Source organism: Homo sapiens, chromosome 10 (assembly GCF_000001405.40).
Source record: "Homo sapiens chromosome 10, GRCh38.p14 Primary Assembly".
NCBI lineage: Eukaryota > Metazoa > Chordata > Mammalia > Primates > Hominidae > Homo > Homo sapiens.
Window position 1 is genome coordinate 88,909,310 of NC_000010.11, and position 19,516 is coordinate 88,928,825.

Genomic DNA, 19,516 nt, shown 5'->3' on the forward strand with positions numbered 1-19,516 from the left:
TTTATCACCAATAATTGCTATATCTATAATTTTGGTTATGTCTAGCTGTGAATATATTCTTTTAAATAAACATTTACAATGTTTCCCATTTATTTGTCTTTAATAGTTTGTGTTGGTCTTATATGAAGGAAGATAAAATCATGTACACAAAGCCAATTGTAGCATGAAATTTTAAATAATTTTTGAAAAACACTTTACCAAATAATGAAATAAAGGCTTTCCTATGAGTATTTTCAGACCTGAGGATGCATAAGCAAAATGCAGATTTTGTCAAATGGTCATCTACATTATTTATTTATTTATTTATTTAGAGTCAGAGTCTTGCTCTGTCACCTAGGCTGGAGTGAAGTGGCGCAATCTCGGCTCACTGCAACCCCCGCCTCCTGGGTTCAAGCAATTCTCTGCCTCAGCTTCCTGAGTAGCTGGGATTACAGGCACCTGCCACCATGCCCAGCTAATTTTTGTATTTTTAATAGAGATGGGGTTTCACCATGTTGGCCAGGCTGGTCTTGAACTCCTGACCTCAAGTGATCCACCTGCCTCTGCCTCCCAAAGTGTTAGGATTACAGGTGTGAGCCACCGCACCCAGCCAACTTTTTTAATGTCTACAGTCACTTACCTGAAGTATCATTTATTATCATGTCTTTGTGTAACATTTCCCCTCAGTTCTCTTGTTCATTCAACCTCAGAGAGTTCTGTTTGGAAACCAAAGGTACCAGGCTGTCACGGTGACTCATGTACTATAACTTAGGGTTATGCTTATTTTTTTTGTAGGAGAAAAATTCTCCAAAACCATATACATTTCCCTTGTTTATGCTTATTGAATAGATATATGAATAAATACATAAATGAATGACAAAGGATTAAGAGAATAGAAATTTGGTGAAAGAGCTAGAGTCAGGAGACTTGAGTTCCAGTCCTAAATGGGCCGCTAGCTGGTTGCATAATACCGAACAGGACTTTCAGTCTCTCCAGGCCTTTGTATCCTCAACTCTAAAAAAGAAGAGGTAGTTGGACTATATAAGAATTCCCAGATTTTCCTGCCATTAACGATCTCTGAGGAAGCTGTTTGAGATCCAGATTCCCAGACCCCTTCTCTACAGGTGTTAATTCAGTAGATCCAGATTAGGCTTGGGGGGGTCTGTATTTTTATAAAAAGTGCCTCAGCTATTCTTTTTACAGTCTAGCATGTCTGGAAATCCCTATCCACCATATATTCTCTCACATCCCTTCTAATTCTGATGCTACATGATTTATGTACTATAGAACAAGTCATTGATCTCAAACTCACTGCCTAAAAATGGGGTACCACAAAGGTAGCCACAAAGTTCTAGCTATTTACATTTTATAGCATTGGGCTATAACAAAATGCTTATCCAATCAGTGGGGCCAATAAAGGTCTTACAAAAGGGATAATAGTGTTTCTTTCCTGCTGGAAAGTTATATTTTGGACCCATAAAAAAGAGATTTATTTTTCTGCCATCATCTTTGGTTACTCATGACTTTATTTGCAGTATACCTACCAGCTGTTTTTCTTTCTCACCTGATGATCTGAAAGAGTGTATTGAAAATCCCACTAATCAATATGTATATATATTTTTAAAAGAAACTGAAGGAGATTGCATTCCCAAGGACAGATGAATTGAAAAACGACCTTTTAAAGAAATATAACGTAGAATACCAAGAATATTTGCAAAGCAAAGTAAGTTCAGTTGGTACATTTATTTCATGACTATTTTATGTACAAGTATTTTTTGAATTTCATTTTTATGTGATGAGTTTTTCAAATGTTTTGTGCATTTAAATTAAAAATTAAAGATGCAGTGATATGGAACCAATAAAAAATTTATGCTGATATCCAGGTTAAGCAGTTTCACCAACAATGTGGTATTTCTATTTCCCTACAATATCTAACAAAGCAATGTGTTAGAAAACAGATTTCCTGCAGCGATTTAAGTAGAACTTTTTGATTAACTCTTGAGCCAGATAACCTTGAGCCAGATGGCTGCTCTTTTGCCAGATGAACAGCCAGTAGGAGGTAGGGAGAGCAGTATATGGTTTCTGATGTGCCTAATGATGTAGGCCTTAGAAATGTGAATTTGATTCTTAGAATGTTACAGTCAGTATTGCATTGAGATAGAATAACAGCTAACCTTGTGGTTGAAATGTAATCATATCACCCAAAAGTGGTGGCTTCTGGATTGTTATTAATAAAGAGTGAACATTATGATAATGTCTGAGAGGCAGAAAGGCATTGGAAGAAGAAATTGGCCAGTGAATGTATGGGATACTCACGTTCAACATAGCATCATTATAGATGTTATTTTGCTTTTTTGTTTGTGTTTTATTTGCTTTAGGGGTTACCACCTTCACTGACTCTCACTTCAGTTCAATCTCATCATCTCTGAGAATGCTCATTGAGCTTTTTGACTTTCTATGGGCATAGGTGGAAGGCTGGCTTGAGTGGAGAGTTTTAACGAAGTGGTAGAGGGAATGGTGAAATTGGAAATGTCCCTCAAGTGTGTATATTAATAATGTGACTTGAAATATGAAAGATAGAAATTTTCTTGGAGGGTAAGACAAAGCAACAACAGCAAGGGAGACGAAAGCCCAGTTCAAGTCTCCTTTCCACGGTCAGCAATGTGTATGATCTTCCTCTTCATGATCTTCCTGGGAGGAACAGGCTCTGCAGCTGTTGCATGTTTTGCCTTTGATACCAGTCACTTCATAGCCTACAGTGGTGACCCATGTGGGAATCTCTGTGGGTTTAGAATAGCAGGACTGAGCCTAGGAGAGATAAACAGCAATGCCTGTGAGCCCTTGCTTCACCAGCATTAGCATCATTTGGAAGCTTGTTAGACACGCAGAATCTCAGGCCCCACCCCAGACCTGCTGAATCAGGATTTGCAACTGCAATTAGCCCCAGGATGATTTGTATGCACCTGAATGTGCCACTATAAGCTGTGTCCCCCATGCTACCGCCATCTTACAGTAGCTCCCAAATCTAGTTTCTATCAAAATCACCTGAAAGGCTCATTAATATTTCATATTATCTGACCTAATAAGCCTGGATATTTTGTTAGAACTGGAGAGCTTGGGACTCCTCCTTTTTAGCAAAACTCTGGGTTAGTGGTGACAGAGAAGGTTGGAACACATTTTAATAACCATTTTTTAGTGATTCCTTCTTATCCATAAATTTCCAGCAGAGTATGAGTTCTAGAGTCAAATGCGAAAGGTTCTAGGGCAGCACTGTTCAATAGAACTCCTGTGATGATGGAAGTGTTCTGTTTGGCACTTTCCAATATGGTATCCACTAGCCACATGTGGCTTCTGGGTACTTAAATGTGACTGACTAGTGTCCCTGAGGTACTGAATTTCTAATTTTGTTTAATTTTAATCAAGTTCAAATAACCACATGTGGCTAGTGGCCACTATATTAGAAGTGCAGTAGGGGTGAGATATTTTGTTTCATATGGTCTTGTTGGTCTGACTGAGCAAACAACCTTGACGTTGATTTTCCAGTATTTAAAAGCATTAGGGAATGAAGGGATCCTGATTGTCATGGCCTGTCTCTGGTAAAATATCAGTGGATTTAGAACTGCTATGTTAATCAGATCAAGGGGCTTTTGCCCTGATGTTATGTATTTCTCTCACTGTTCCATGAGTGTCCCTGTGGGCATATCACAGTATCTAGCATTTTCTCTGTCTGCTTGAAGACTGAAAATGTCTAATTCCAGTTCAATGTTTCTCCTTGGAAACTAACCTTCTCTTCTGGCTGCCACACTTTTTAGAACAAATATAAAGCTGAAATTCTCAAAAAATTGGAGCATCAGAGATTGATAGAGGCAGAAAGGAAGCGGATTGCTCAGATGCGCCAGCAGCAGCTAGAATCGGAGCAGTTTCTGTTTTTCGAAGATCAACTCAAGAAGCAAGAGTTAGCCCGAGGTCAAATGCGAAGTCAGCAAACCTCAGGGCTGTCAGAGCAGATTGATGGGAGCGCTTTGTCCTGCTTTTCCACACACCAGAACAATTCCTTGCTGAATGTATTTGCAGATCAACCTAATAAAAGTGATGCAACCAATTATGCTAGCCACTCTCCTCCTGTAAACAGGGCCTTAACGCCAGCTGCTACTCTAAGTGCTGTTCAGAGTAAGTGATGAAATGCACCCATGTGAGACACTGAGCCTCATCGGATGGAACCATATTTCTATAGCATCTGGGAGGGTCCTTCTCATTTCATTATTAATTGTAGTAGGACCCCTGCATAATATGGTATGAATGAAAGAATTAACCTTTCAATACTCTCTAGCTTTTACTATATATAATCTTAAAATTCAGGAAATATGATGCCCCCGATAGAGCAGAGACTCTATAATAAATGGGAAGTATTTTGTCATTGACAGAGGTTTTAAATGAGAAGAATTTCAAGTACTTTTGTCTTCTATGTATTTTAACTAAGAAATACATACATCTTAAATACATCCATCTTTCTGGGGAGAAAAGGTGTGAGAAAATTGTTTATCTAGACCTTTGCTCAGCAATAAATGTTTATACTCAATATGTTTAGCATCATCCTTGGACTGAGAGAATCTCATACACATAGATAATTAACCTCCAAATGGACCGTGTGTTTCCGCAAGAATTAGTGCTGCTCAGTACTGCCAGATCAGTGCTGGCAAGTTTCCAAAACACAGAATTCTTCTTCGCAGACACTGTCAGATAGAATTTGTGTTCCCATTTATTTGAAATGAGCGATAATAGGCAACCATTTTGAAAGTTACTTTACTGCTGATTGTTTACCAAAACGTTGTGCTTTTACTTACTGATCACCAACTTTCATGAAGATAGAAGTAACATGATAAACACAATATTTATCTATGTCTTATAGGATATGAGATGCATTCTATGCAGCCTATGCATTTAACCCTATATTTGCTTCATGCCTAAAGATAACATAACATGTAAATAGTTAACCCAAGATACAAACATGTAAAAGTGCTTGTACCTTCTGATTTTGCTTATAAAATAATTTATATACATAATTTAATTTTACTTCTAGTTAATGTTTACTTCTAAGAGTTTTAAAATAAAATATGGAAAGTGGAACACCTGATACTTTTATTTTTGAAATTTATGTCCAACTGCAACTGTTTGCCAATAACAATTTTGAAAGATGGGACATATAGTTTGTTTTTTAGCCTTTTCTCCCTTTTTTGTTTCTTAGATTTAGTGGTTGAAGGACTGCGATGTGTAGTTTTGCCAGAAGATCTTTGCCACAAATTTCTGCAACTGGCAGAATCTAATACAGTGAGAGGAATAGAAACCTGTGGAATACTCTGTGGAAAACTGGTATGATCTTTTTATATAAATATATATATATATATATCTGCATAGGATACTTTTAATAGTACTAGATTTCTTCTGATAAGTGGAACAGAATAAAACCATGCTAAGAGTTATCAATATTATGAAATTAACGTTACACAGATTAACTTTATAAAACTATTGTCATTACTAATGGAATGATCCTTTTAGAAAATAGATTGTAAAATTTCAGAGACACTATAAAAACTTGTCCTAAAGAATCAACCTATAAATTAAATCTTTGATTAGAAAAATGGTACGAAATATAGGTCTTCAGATTTCCAAATCTATCTGGTTGCCAAATCAAATTTTCATTGTAATTGTTAGTTTCACATACATTCATATAATTAACTTCATCTGTGGCATGTATTATCTTGCTGTTCTTTTTCAGATACACGTGGAATAAAACTAGGATTTTGTAGTTTCCTTTAGTTTAAGGCAGTAGTTTCAACAAAAGCCTATAAGCACAGGACATACTTAATTATGGAAGATGTCATCATAAGTATGTGATGAAAGACAATGTCATAATAGAAGGGATGAAAGAGAGGAGATGCATTCAATTTCCTATCTACAACAGAGATAATGTTTCTTTGGACGTGTCCTTTCATAGTCTGTTTTGAGTACCAGTTTATATATCTGGGTCCAGGTATATTTTCAGTTCTCAAAATTTAGCTTAGGAACCTCTGCTTTATTGAATAATAATACATTGTATTCAGTACACAATCTCCTGCTGCATTCCAGTGTTTTGTCATCACTTTCCCTCCAAGAGATAGGAAGCCATTGGTGGCAGCACAGGAGAATGGGCATCTATAGTCGCCTCTGTTGCACTTAAGGGGACAGTGTGCTATTGAAGCATTCACCCCCACATCGTGTTGTATTCAGATTGGTTGACTGATTCGTTCACTCCATTGTCAGACAAACATTTACCGAATATCTAAATGTGCCAGGCACTGTGCTGGTTATTAGCATTTGGTATCCTGCAACAGCCACGGTCCCTGCCTCACGATGCTTACGATGCTGTGAAGACCCAGACAGATGACTAATAATAAGTGGGGCTAAGTGCTGTCTGTGCAAGTGTAGGGCATCATGGGAGTTTGTAACTGGGAAATCTAACCTTGTCTGAGGGGTCAAGAAGGGTTTCCCTGAGAAGTGATGTTTGAGCTAGGCCTGAAGAATACATAAAGGAGGAGGTTGGATGGAGGGAAGAGTTGAAATCAGGGCAAAGGAGCAGTGCATAGTGTGCAGGAAAGCCCTAAGGCTAGAGAGAGGATGGTCCTCTGGATGGGAGAAAGGCCAGCCTGCCTGGGGGAAGATAGCCTCTCATTGCACAAACATCTGTTCCTTGAGGATCCCGTGGCACTTCACAACCCTCTTCCTCTCAACTCTTATCTTTTGCCTAAGGGGGGTAATTTGTTTTTTCCTTTCTCTTTATCTGATTGCAAATCCAAAACATTATCTTAATTACAGAAGATCCTAGTAAGTCCTCCCAGCATTCGAAGAATGTCTTAAGTCTTGAAGTGACATTAAATATAATTAGTAAAACAGAAACAAAACCATCAACCTTCACAACCCTAAGAAATGCCTTTTGGTAACACCACAAAATTATTTAACTAGTGTCTCCCCCTCCAAATAAATCTGTCTTTGTTTTGTTCAGTTTTTCCATTATAGATATATCAAGACATCATTTATTAACTAAACTTCCACAGACCAGCCTGGAATGCAAGTTCCTATTTCTGTTATGTTTTCTATTGTGAAACTGGGTTTCAAGCTACAAACAACTGATTCTCAAAGTTTTGGCAAAGAATCCATTTTTACTGTTGGGACTTTGTTTTTGAATTGGAAAGGGTGGTGTGTCCAGGTACAGGGAGGGATGATGTAAGTGGTCCCTGTACCTGGACACACCCCCCTGCTGGGGGACTCTTTAGTCTTAAACATTTCATTTCCTGTTCAGTTATTTTTTTTTTTTCTGTGAGATGCATGTCATTCTTTCTGCTATTGTTTTTTAGACACATAATGAATTTACTATTACCCATGTAATTGTGCCAAAGCAGTCTGCGGGACCAGACTATTGTGACATGGAGAATGTAGAGGAATTATTCAATGTTCAGGATCAACATGATCTCCTCACTCTAGGATGGATCCATGTACGTTTGACCTTTTGGGTTTCAGTTTTTTTGTGTGTGTGGCATGCTATTTTCCTCCTTGAAGAAAAGTTTAGCTTCATTTAAATAGCTTCTTCTTTTTAATTTTTTCAAATGTAATAAAGGTTGTCATTTAAGTAGTGGTTCTCAAGCAAAGAGAAAAGAATAACAGATATTAAAAAAATAAAGGTCATCATATTATAGCATATTTTTCAGTGTTAGACTGTGCCTAAACCTGTCAAATCTGGATTTGGAGAACGTGTATCTTATGCTTTTTTGTATCATCTGAAGTTAAAAGACATAGAAAGAAAGCGAGTAACATTTGGAAATCAGTGATTTGTTTTAGATGATTTTACATAGCCTAGTGAAGGCTTAGCCAAATTGTTAACTGATTTGGCTAGACAACTGTTAGTGTGGGTCTAAATTAGATTATTTTAAGAAAATATCTGAAAGTGTTTCTTTTAAACATGTGTTTGTATATATCAGCCACACTCCCTGACACCCCTCAGACAGGCAAACGATGTATGGGATCACTGTACAAACAGCCACATAGTAAGGCAAGAGGATAGGGCCCAAAACATTGAATTCCAACATCCACCAGGCCATCATAGGAGCAAATCAAGTAGACATGAGGTTAAATCTTGGCTCTGGTAAGAATTCACTATAGGAGCATTGGCAAGTTATTAAGCAATCCGAGCATCAGTTTTATCATCCATAAAGTGGAGATCATAATAATTGACTTCACAGGATGTTTCATATTAAATGAGATACTATTGGTGAGTTTCATAGCACATTTTTTGAGGGACTCAGAAAATTGTAACTGTTATAATTGGTGATAATAATCTATCCTTTCTAGCCATAGTGCAATCCAGCTGAGGGAAGTTTTTTCCATTCAGTCTTACATAAGCTGGATCTAGGATAATGTCTTGGTGTGTTTTTGCTGCTATAACAAAATGCCTAATACAGGATAATTTAAAAAGAACAGAAATTTATTTTGTCTGGTCTTGGAGACTGGAAAGTCCAAGATCAAGGCACCAGCATTGATGTCTAGTGAGGGCTGCTCTCAGCTTCCATGAGCAGCCTTCACTACACACCCATGGCACCTTGTTGCTGTGTCCTCACAGGGTGGAAGGCAGAAGGGCAAGAGAGCACTCCCTTCAACCTTGAGCCCTTTCACAAGGGTCTTAATACCATTCACTAGAGTGGAGCCCTCATGATTCATCACCTCCCAAAGACCACACTTCTTAATACTGTTGCATTGAGGATTAAGTTTCATCGTGAATATTGGTGGAAACCCCACCATTCAAACCATAGCATGTTAGGATAAGCCATCCCACTGAGATGGGATACTGGCCAAGAAAATTTCCAGGACACATTCTGGGGACCTCCAAGTGCCCTTGAGGAATGATACATGATCATTTTGTATTTTACTTGCTTTATAGAGAAGCACTGGGGAGGAGCAGCATGCACACACACACACACACACACACATACACACACACACACACACATTTCCTAAGCATTTGGTATTATGCAGTTCTGGAGGGTACAGGAGACTTTAGTCCCAACTCTTCCTGTAAATTACTATGTGCTATCAGTTAGGACTTCTAGCCTCATTTCCAGATTTCCTCATTGACTGAGTGAGGCTAATGAATACCTTCTCTCCTCACTGGATTTCTGTGAACAGGAAACAAGATACCAGGTGTGAAAGCTCTTTGAAAAGTATAAACTGCCTGTCAAATGCAAGAAATTATTTATAATGAAGAGTTTGTAAAACTCTTCATATGTCTATTTGCGTTACTTAACAGTGAGTAATATGCATTACACTTTGCCTGGAAATTGCTATATTATTTAGCTTAACATGATTTCTATAAAAAGAATGCCTTATTTAGCGTAACATGATTTCTGTAACAAGAATGCATTTTAAAGCAAAACAAATTCTAGCAAGAATGACAGTCCATTAAATTATGCATTTACACTGACAAGTCAATGTTAGTTTATCTAACAAAACATTTTCCAAATTAGAAACAAAAATTTTCCCCTTATGACCTACCGTGGACATAATGCATGCAATTATGAAGGTAAGTTGTTTAATAAGTTTAGCATAATTCTTGAATTTTAGGACTTTTTGTTAAACTCATTTCACCGTATCAAATTATTGTGGTTGGATGAAAATACAAAAATGTTACATTTCTAAACCTAAGTGATTGTAATGACTTTTTATGACGGTTTTTATTAAGTATAATAATAGCAACAAATTCCAGAGCTGGCTTTTTTCAAATACAAATTAGTCATAGGAATAAAAGGTCTGAAACATAGTCAGACAGACATGTATTTGACTTTAGACATTTTGGTTTAACTAGTTTTATGAGCATCAGCAAGTTACTCACTTTCCTGCTTACCTCAGTTTCCTCATCTGCAAAATGGGGATTATAATAGTACTTATCTTGTTGCTGTGAGAATTCAATGATATGACTCATGAAAAGTGATTAGTTCACATTATACAGTTGCAATAAATGGCATCTGCTGCCATTGTTATCATCATCATCATCATTTTCATTTCTGTAGAGTGAGGGAATGGGAGCCTCATTCTCCCATGGGAAAACTGTCCTAATTGGAATGGACATAATTCCTTTTGGTAGAAATGAAGGACTCAGGTCATGTGGTGTGCATTCTGTGTTCAAATAACTTGACAAGCAGAGTGATTTGTCTGTTTAATAACCTGCTTGCTGCCTCCACAGCACTGTGGTTTCTTTGAACAATTTTTAATTTCTCACGAAGACATAGACGGCTCTATTTTACAAAGAGAAGGTATTCCTTGTAAGATAACAGGCTGTCAGATACTCCCACTCATACCCCCTACTGAAGATTTGCATTTTAAAAGTTAGGATAATTTCCATTCCTTTGTTGATCTAAGTTTTTATATGCCAAGTGTTATTTTTTCCTTGCAGAACATGTACCTTTCTGTAAATCATCATCTGATTTTACCTTCATTCTATTAAAGCCGAAAAAAAACGTTGTCTTGCCTTTTTTTTTTTCAAGACAGGATCTTGCTCTGTTGTCCAGGCTGGAGTGCAGTAGAGTGATCACAGCTCACTGCAGCCTCAACCTCCCTGGCTCAAGCGCTCCTCTCACCTCAGCCCCCTCAAGTAGTTGAGACTACAGGCACATGCCACCATGCCTAGCTAATTAAAAAAACTTTTTTTTTGTTTGTTTTGGAGAGATGGAGTCTACCTATATTGTCCAGGCTGGTCTTGAACTCTTGGGCTCAACTGATCCTCTCACCTTGGCCACCCAAAGTGTTGGGATTACAGGCATGAGCCGGTATGCCTGGCCTAAAAATAGTTTTAAAATCTTACATTTCTTTAATAGAATATAGTTTTGTGTAAAGGCATTTAGCTACTACTATGGCTCTGTGCCTTTTAGTTAATAAATACATTTAATATAACACTAGCAATAACAACAGCTAATGACTTTTATTTCTATGCGCTAAGCACTGTTCCAGGAATTTTAATGGACTGTCCTATTTGATCTTCATAACAATCCCATGCAGAAAATATTATCCCAATTTTACAGATGATGAAATGGGCAAGAGAAGGTTAAGAAATCTTCAGCGTCATATAGCTAGTGAGTAATGGAGTCAGGACCTAGAGAGTGGTGCCAAGAATCTTTGTTTCATGATTAAAATAGTCACATTCTTTTTTCTAAGAGTAATTAGGGTTTAATATGAATTTCTAAAATAACTAGGTGTGCATTTATTTTTTATATTCAAATATGAACCTCCGATTGGCCATGCATAAACACATTTGTATATAGCCAGAAACTTGGCAGATTTCTTGTAATTTATAATCCCCCTTTTTTTCTCCCCATGTATTTAGTTGCTATGCGAGATTAGTCCCAAATACCTTCAACAACTTGGAGTCTCCCATTCTCCCATTTATAGGAAATGACAATCCACAAAAGGATACACAGCAGCATGTGGTCTATTTAGTGAAAACTTTCTTTTAATGTTCATAATGTTGTATATATGTATCTTGTGCCCAGGGTTTCCAATCACAGCTCTGCTCCTTACCAGCCGTGTGACCACAGGCACATTATGTAACCTCCCTTAGTTTTGGGATCCTTGTATGTAAAATTGAGATAATAAAATAAGTATCTCATAAATGAGTTGTGATAATTATATGAGAATCTATTTAAAGCCCCTAGCAAATTAATTTCCAGCTCTTTCTTTCCCAAAAAGAAGAAAGTACACTAACACTTCTAGGAGCCTCTTCTCAGAATTGTAGTTATTCCAAAATAGCAAATAGTTGGCATAAAGGGAAGGATTATGTCAGCAAAACCTTTTTAAAAATCCTTATTTGATTAATGATGGTAAAAACTAAAAAAAAACAGAGTTTTCTATTAAAATAGCCTATGGCCTTGGCTAAGACAGCTATCCTAGTAAGATTATCTTATTTTCTATTTATAGACACATCCCACTCAAACTGCATTTTTATCCAGCGTTGATCTTCACACTCACTGTTCCTATCAACTCATGTTGCCAGAGGCCATTGCCATTGTTTGCTCACCAAAGCATAAAGAGTAAGTGTAACTCTTCAGGGGAGACCAAAGAAGGCTTTGTCCAGGGCTGCTGGGTTCCTGTGTGTCCAGACACCAGGTTGTGGTACTTGGATTGGCAAGCACACAACGCCCTCGGGAAAAAGAGATGGGTAGTAGTCAGCTGCCATAGACCTATAGCTCTGCAGTTTAAGGTCCTTTCAGTGGCAGAATTACTGATTTTCTTTCTTCAGTTAGCGTGACTTTGAAGTGAATAACATTTAAGAAAGATGCTATCCCAGTTAGCCTTTTTAGGACTTATTTCTACTGTATTATGTTCTACCATAAGAAATGTTCTTGCCTTAGCTGAGAAAAAAACCTTTCTAGCTTTGGGGAACAATGATTATTGTAGAGTAGTTATGAGCATGGGAATCAAAAAAACATATTGAAATCCTGGCTCCACCCCTCAAGTGGTGTGTTAGGCAGGATACTTGACCACTGTGGGTCTCTGCCTCTTCATCCCTGATACCTGCCCATCGGGGATGGATGTAAAGATGAAATTAGATAATAGTTTATGTACAGTGCTCAGCATAGTGCCTGGTACCACAGCAGGTACTCAATACATATTTGCTATTGCTATAATCTGTATTAACATAATTAGAAGATTCGAAATATCTGCCACTTGTAATTTCCTCTCATGAGACTCTCTAGTGGGGCTTTGGCCTTTCCTCTGGGGTCACACACGATAGCTTATTTGCCTTGTCCCCTTAACGGTCCTGCAGGCTCTTAGCAGCAGCATTGCCTCCTCCTGGGTTTCTCTCCTCTGGACCAGTCATTGGTTTAAAAAAAAAATCACTATGGAATTCCTAGTTTGTGATTTCTCAATCCCATCTGAGGAATATGTATGTGTGTGCTGTTCAAATAAAGCATCTGGAATGCCCAAATGATCCTTAATTTTTCTATCTTGTTTTTGCTCTGAAATTTAGCACTGGCATCTTCAGGCTCACCAATGCTGGCATGCTTGAGGTTTCTGCTTGTAAAAAAAAGGGCTTTCATCCACACACCAAGGAGCCCAGGCTGTTCAGTGTGAGTACATCATATTAGTTATTTTTCCAGGTATTTCTTGTTCACTGCCCCCCCAATCTGTTTTTAAATAAATAGTAGCAGTCTAATATAAGATAAAATACTGTACTGCTTAGTTTGGAGTTTTATCTCAGAAAATTAATCTATCTGTATACTTAATTTCTGATTTATTCTCAAAATAATTGTATTTACAAGGAAACATCAGTATTTCTGTAGCAGAATTAATGGTGCACAAAGTTACCTTTCCGCTTATGTATATGTATGATATTTAAAAGTTTTCTTCAGAGTCCAAATAAGTAAACAATTATCATAGAAAATGACATTTAAAATGTTGCATGAATTCTTTCTGCTTGATATGGCCAAATTAGTTTTTTCATAGCAATTGATGGAAACTATGATCATACTTCTTGATTACCTTTGCATAGTCCAAAAGAAACATTTGACTACGCCTTTTTTTTTCCTAATTTTCTTGGAGGTTCTGTGGCTATAACATCAGAGAACATTATATTGACGTTAGAATTTACTTAAAATGAAAATTATTTGGCAACCCCTGTAAATATTTTTGTTGTTGTTGAAAATGAATAAATGTGATTGTATTTGTTCTGATTGGAAATATTTTAAAAATCAGGAACAAATTAAAATTAGGAAATCTATACTTCCTCCCTAAAGAAAATCATATGGTAAACATTATGGTGAAATCAAACATATGGTAAAACCAATTTTTTCTTTCCTAGATATGCAAACATGTGTTGGTAAAAGACATAAAAATAATTGTGTTGGATCTGAGGTGATATGTTCTGAATGTAAGCACCGTCAACATCAGACACCTACTCATGGACATGTGGTTGCCGGATTTTCTTAAGATGTTTCCAGAAATGACTGATATTTTATATTTATACATTTTAGATGACAAAGCTTGATATTTATTGCTGTTGCACATTTTAAAGTTTTCTTTTTGGGTTGCTCTGTGTCAAGAGAGGTTACATGGTGTTAAATCGGTACCTGATAATGTACCCAAATACTATGGCCAGATAATAAATTGTGCTGCAAACAACATGTCTTGTATTTATAGAGGTCTCTGCATACATTTTTAGAGCTTTAGATGATTTGCTATATTTTTTATTCATGTAAAATGTAATTCCAAATAAGAAATTCTGAGTGTATATAGTCTCCAAAGCAGACCATCTGTTTCTGAAACCTTCCCCTGAGGTAGGTGAACAGCTTCCATGTGTAGATGAAATATGGCTGCCATTGATAAAGCTTGTTCTGTGTTTTCAGTGTCATGAAATCCCAGGCTCAGAGAGATATCTCTGCAGTGAATCATTGTGTAAGATACAAGAACAACACTTCTATTCAGGGATCAGGTGTCAGAGGGCCTGGGATAGCAGACAATTCATTAATTTGATTTAGAAGACTAAAAGTAGAGAAGCTTGAGAGAGGATTTTTTTTTTAAAAAAAGACTCAGATAAAAGTACAAAACCTGTTACTGTGAAAATGAACAGGGGTGATAGGAAGAAGAAATGAGACATAAGAAATAACTGATAATTCTTAGTCAACTTGCTAACTCTGTTAGCAAGTTGAATTGGTAGGAAAAACCTGAGGATGGAAACAGTGTGGAGAAATCTTAGCTGCAGATACACAGAGGGCAGAATGGAAGTGATATTGTTGAGTTATTTGAGAATAGGTCCTTTGGGACACTGAAGACTAGTTCTGCAGGTGAAATCTTTATCTTGGAAGACATTGCTCCCAGGCACATTGGGAAATCCTGGGCTGACAGCCCTTTCCTTGATCGAGAAACTTGTGATCACTTCTTAGTCTCCCTTTTCATCCTTTAGGGCCTTACATTACTCTAGTCTAGCTTTCTTCTTTTTTCTTTTCAACGTTTAAGTTTCCTTCTCCAGCCATCTCTCCCTGGATCTCCACAACTTTTCAACAGGGCCAAACTAATCCTATGAAACCTTCTGTCTTCCCAATGTCTTCTGTGCCAGCCACAGCTCTCCCTGCCTTTGCTTTCCTCATGACATTGTATCTGAGTTGCCTAAACAACTCATGTTTCCATGTACTAGCTTCCACTGCTTAGTTCAATGATTTCCATATTCCAGAGTGGTATTTCCTGTACTCTGTGCTTGGATGGGTTAACATCTGATATGGTTTGGCTGTGTCCCCACCCAAATCTCATCTTAAATCATAGTAGGAGGGACCTGGTGGGAGGTAATTGAATCATTGGGGTGGTTACCTCCATGCTGTTCTCATGATAGTGAGTGAGTTCTCAGGATATCTGATGGTTTCATAGGGGGCTTTTTCCCTTTTGCTCAGCACTTCTTCCTGCCATTATGTGAAGAAGGACGTGTTTTGCTTCCCTTTCCGCAATGATTTTAAGTTTCTTGAGGCCTCCCCAGCAATGCAGAACTGTGAGTCAATTAAACCTCTTTCCTTTAGAAATTGCTCAGCCTTGGTCAGTTCTTTATAGTAGCATGAGAATGGACTAATGCATCAACCCTCCCTGCTTGTCTAGTTCTCAATTCTGGTATCATGTCACCTGAATTCTGTTCCTGTTCTCATTTATACAGAACCACCTACTATGGGCAAGTCAGTGGCTTGTTTCTGTTTCATGGAATCTTCTAGCTATGGAGAGCTCAGGTATCAGACTTCAGAAGTAGAGCTTGGCTTGCCTTGTGCATGGAGACTTTAGTCTATGGCCACCACTAGTTAAGAGCAGATTAACTCTGCAAGGCTGGCTCCATAGACACCTCACTTTTTCCTGAGTGGTGCTGTCCTCAGTGTCTTAACACTTAAACACACCATGATATTCTGATATGCTTGATCAAAGGAAAATGTTATATTCTTTATTCAAGTAAAAATAATTGTTGGGACAATGGATAGTTGAGAAATGAGTGAGATCCTTTGTATAGAATTAAAAATTATAGTAATACACTAAGAGGATGTAAAATGAGAGTTGTCCGATGAAAAAGCTATGGACATTGAATGGTGCCTAAAGATAGAAAGGACTCAGTTGAGGGCCAAGAACATTTAGCATCTTAGATTTCCAGAAAGACTAGAAAGAGAAGCTATGAGTATGCAAAACCATTATGTCCCTTCTGAATAGCAAACTAGAAGAGAACTCATTTTCACTAAGAAAGTATATTGTATTTCCTAAATAAAGGAGACATTCTTGGCACTTTTTTGTAGGTTTTTTTTTTTTTTTTTTTTTTTTTTTTTTTGCCAAGTACAAACCAAATTAACCAGGATCTCACAGAGTGGGACTGTTGGAGGCGGCAAACCAGAGCCTGACTTTGGCTGGCAGAATGAGGCCCTGGGGCTGTGTCTGAAAGAACCAACAGAAATGTGACCACATCACTAAGTAATGGACTGGTCGTGAGGCAGAGACCCTGTTAACCAACCTGGAGACGCCACTACACACACATGTGCATGAGCACCAGTGTTCATTGGATAAACTATCTATGGAAGGTCTCTTTCACAACAGGCAGACAGCACCTTCTCTTTTTTTGAGACAAGGTCTCACACTGTTGCCCAGGCTGGAGTGTAATGGCATAATCATGGGTCACCGCAGCCTTGATCTCGTAGGCTCAAGCGATCCTCCCATCTCAGCCTCCCGAGTAGCTGGGACTACAGGCACTCACCACCACACCTGGCTATTTTTTTTCTATTTTGTAGAAATGAGGTCTTGCTGTGTTGCTAGGGCAGGAGATCCTTCTTTTGAATATGAATCAGTTCCAAAGCTCCATTTGCCACATCCTAAGGCAAAGATGGTTCTTCATTTCTTTTCAGATTTGTGTTTCTGTAGAAAAAAAAGAAACAATTAAGAACTTCCTTTGATTTTCAGTGCTAGTCAGTTTGCACACAGTGCCTGACACCTCATGTGTATTTGTTATAGGCTGAATTGTGTCCCCCAAATTCATGTGTTGAGGTCCTTAACCCCCCAATACCTCAGAATATGACTGAGTTTGGAGATAGGGCCTTTACACAAATAATTAAGTTAAAATGAGGCTAGTAGAGTGGGCACTAATCCAGTATGAGTTGTGTCCTTATAATTAGAGATTAGGACAGACATACACAGAAGGAAGACCATGGGAAAACAGAAAGAAGACTGCCATCTGCAAGCCAAAGAGAGAGAGATCTCAGAAGAAACCATCCCTGCCAAAACCTAGATCTCAGACTTCCAGCCTCCGGAACTGTGAGAAAATAATTTTCTGTTGTTTAAGCCATCTGGTCTGTGGTATTCTGTTTGGCAGCCCTCACAAACTAATGTAGTATCCGGTAAATATTTGCTGAAGTTGTTTGTTTCCTTTTCTCTTACAGACTGAATTGGAAATGGCTTTCTTTGTTGTCATGCAGGGCAGAAATCATTCTTTCCATAGGCCTTGTCAGTTGTAGAAGAGCAAAGCAGAATGTTTGTGGATTATTCTCAGCTACTCAAATTGTTCCTAGTTTCTTTTTAGTAGGATTTTGCTTGTGGAAATTTGACATTTTATTTGGCGCCACACTGGTTCACTTCTGTTTTCTCCCAATTCATTTCACATTGCAACCACATCAACTGTGTTGGAGACTGTGTTATTACAATGATTTGACCTTAGGTTGAGGTTTCTGTTGCAAAACCAGCTGAGGAGGTCCTAAATGTGGAAAGCAGATGTTTCTCTTCTGGCATGTCTTGCAGAATTATCTGGCAAGAGAATATCTTCTGTGAAAAGAATGCGTGAGAAATGTCATGCATTTGGCAATGATTAAGAAAGAAAGGTAAACCTTCAACTCCTTGTTCTTAAAAGAATTTGGCTTGTTATTTACTGGGAAGACAACTAAGATGCAAAGAGCTTTTCTGCTCTTTGCAACAAATTTCTTAAAATTTGTTTTCTTTTCTACTCTTTTGTTCTTCATAAGGCCAGAATATATTATCTCGGGGAGAGCTGATGAAAACATGACTTAGTGGCTCTTAGAGATTTAGCATACTGATGTCCAAGAAGACGTTGTTGTTTTTTAAACTATCAAAAGGCAGGCCTTCATTTGGACTGCTACAACAAAAATACCATAAACTGGGTGACGTAAACAACACTGTATTTCTGTCACCCAGTTCTGGTGGCTGGAATTTGATATCTGGGTGCCAGCATAGTCCAGTTCTTGATGAGGACTCCCTTCCTTATTTGCAGATGGCTACCTTCTTGCCCTACCCTCAAATGGGGGAGAGAGAAATCATCTCTCATGTCTCTGCTTATAAGGACACAAATACTATCACGAGGGCCTGACCCTACCTTCATGACCTAATTATCTCCCAACGCCCAACGACCCCACCTCCAAATACCATTGCAACGAGGATGAGGTTTCAGCATATTAATGGCGGGGGCACCAATATTTGATCCGTAACTATGCGAGTGCCAACTAGCTAGTTTCTTGTCTTTTTTCAGTGCCATATGGAGGCTCTGCTGTACATCTTCTGAGATCCCATAGTTACTATATTAAAAAGTACCATTCTGATGAGAATGTGAATAGCTTTTATTATATTACCTTTGATCTGGTGTGAAGATGCCTTCAAATAGATTTAAGAAATTACTCATTAAAAGGATATTTTTCAAAAGGAATTGCCAGTTGATTAAATAATACTAGGTATTAAATTTTACCTCATGGAAGAACAAACTTGTTTGACAAAAAAACATTTCTTAATTAAAGCCATATATTTTCATATTAGTAATGTTGCTATATAATTATAATATTTTTAATTTTGTAATGTTTTTATAATTAAAGGACTTAGTAAAATCCATATTCCTGTATATGTTTGAATAACCAGACAGAGAAATGGAAAAGGGAAAGAAAATCCAGGGAAGGGAATATTATTTAGAAAGGAAGCCTGTGATACTCTTAAGGTCTGTCACTACAGCTTGCTGGACTTCAGGATGGGGATAGGAGATGCAGAAGACAAGAGAGGAAAAAACAGAGAAGGACTCTGGGGGAGGGAAGGTAGATTAAGAGCATTGCAGACTGGCTTTATTTAATTTGTTTGTTTGAAGTAAATGCCTTGACATTATCTGGACGACAAGACATTCTAAAACCAAATGGAGATAATTAGATTTTTTTTTCTCAATCAAGGAGCATTACCCGTGCATCTCTATCAGGTAAACAAGAGATGGCAGTGAAAAATTACAGTTGTTTACATGAATTATTCATTGTCTCACTGGGTCCCAGATGTACCAATGGAATGCATGGTGAATTCATATTCTTGAGCCTGAAGAGGAGGTTTAAAAATTCTCCTTTGCACTTTTTCCAAGAGAAAAAGGCATTTACAGATTGATTTAAAAAGAAAAAAAGCTCAATTATGTTTCCTTCTAATATAAAGGCTGACAAGGAAAGCAAAGCAAGCAACTAGAAGACATTTGCTGTGCTCT

The 19,516-nt window shown here is 37.7% G+C and overlaps 1 protein-coding gene across 12 annotated transcripts in view; it reads left to right on the plus strand.

Moving 5' to 3' along the window:
* Positions 1–14,178, plus strand: part of STAMBPL1 (STAM binding protein like 1) — a 43,243-nt gene extending 29,065 nt beyond the window's left edge. For 10 of the 12 annotated variants that reach the window (XM_047425551.1, XM_011539985.3, XM_006717930.4 and 7 more), the window contains 7 exons: positions 1,607–1,702; positions 3,792–4,149; positions 5,225–5,349; positions 7,371–7,508; positions 11,974–12,086; positions 13,028–13,127; positions 13,859–14,178. In XM_047425551.1, coding sequence (XP_047281507.1) covers positions 1,607–1,702; positions 3,792–4,149; positions 5,225–5,349; positions 7,371–7,508; positions 11,974–12,086; positions 13,028–13,127; positions 13,859–13,915 — 987 coding nt within the window. In that variant the 3' untranslated portion in view covers positions 13,916–14,178. The remainder of the gene's footprint in view (positions 1–1,606; positions 1,703–3,791; positions 4,150–5,224; positions 5,350–7,370; positions 7,509–11,973; positions 12,087–13,027; positions 13,128–13,858) is intronic. The other 2 variants (XM_047425555.1, XM_017016457.3) reach the window with 1 other exon arrangement.
* Positions 14,179–19,516: the final 5,338 nt, after the last annotated feature.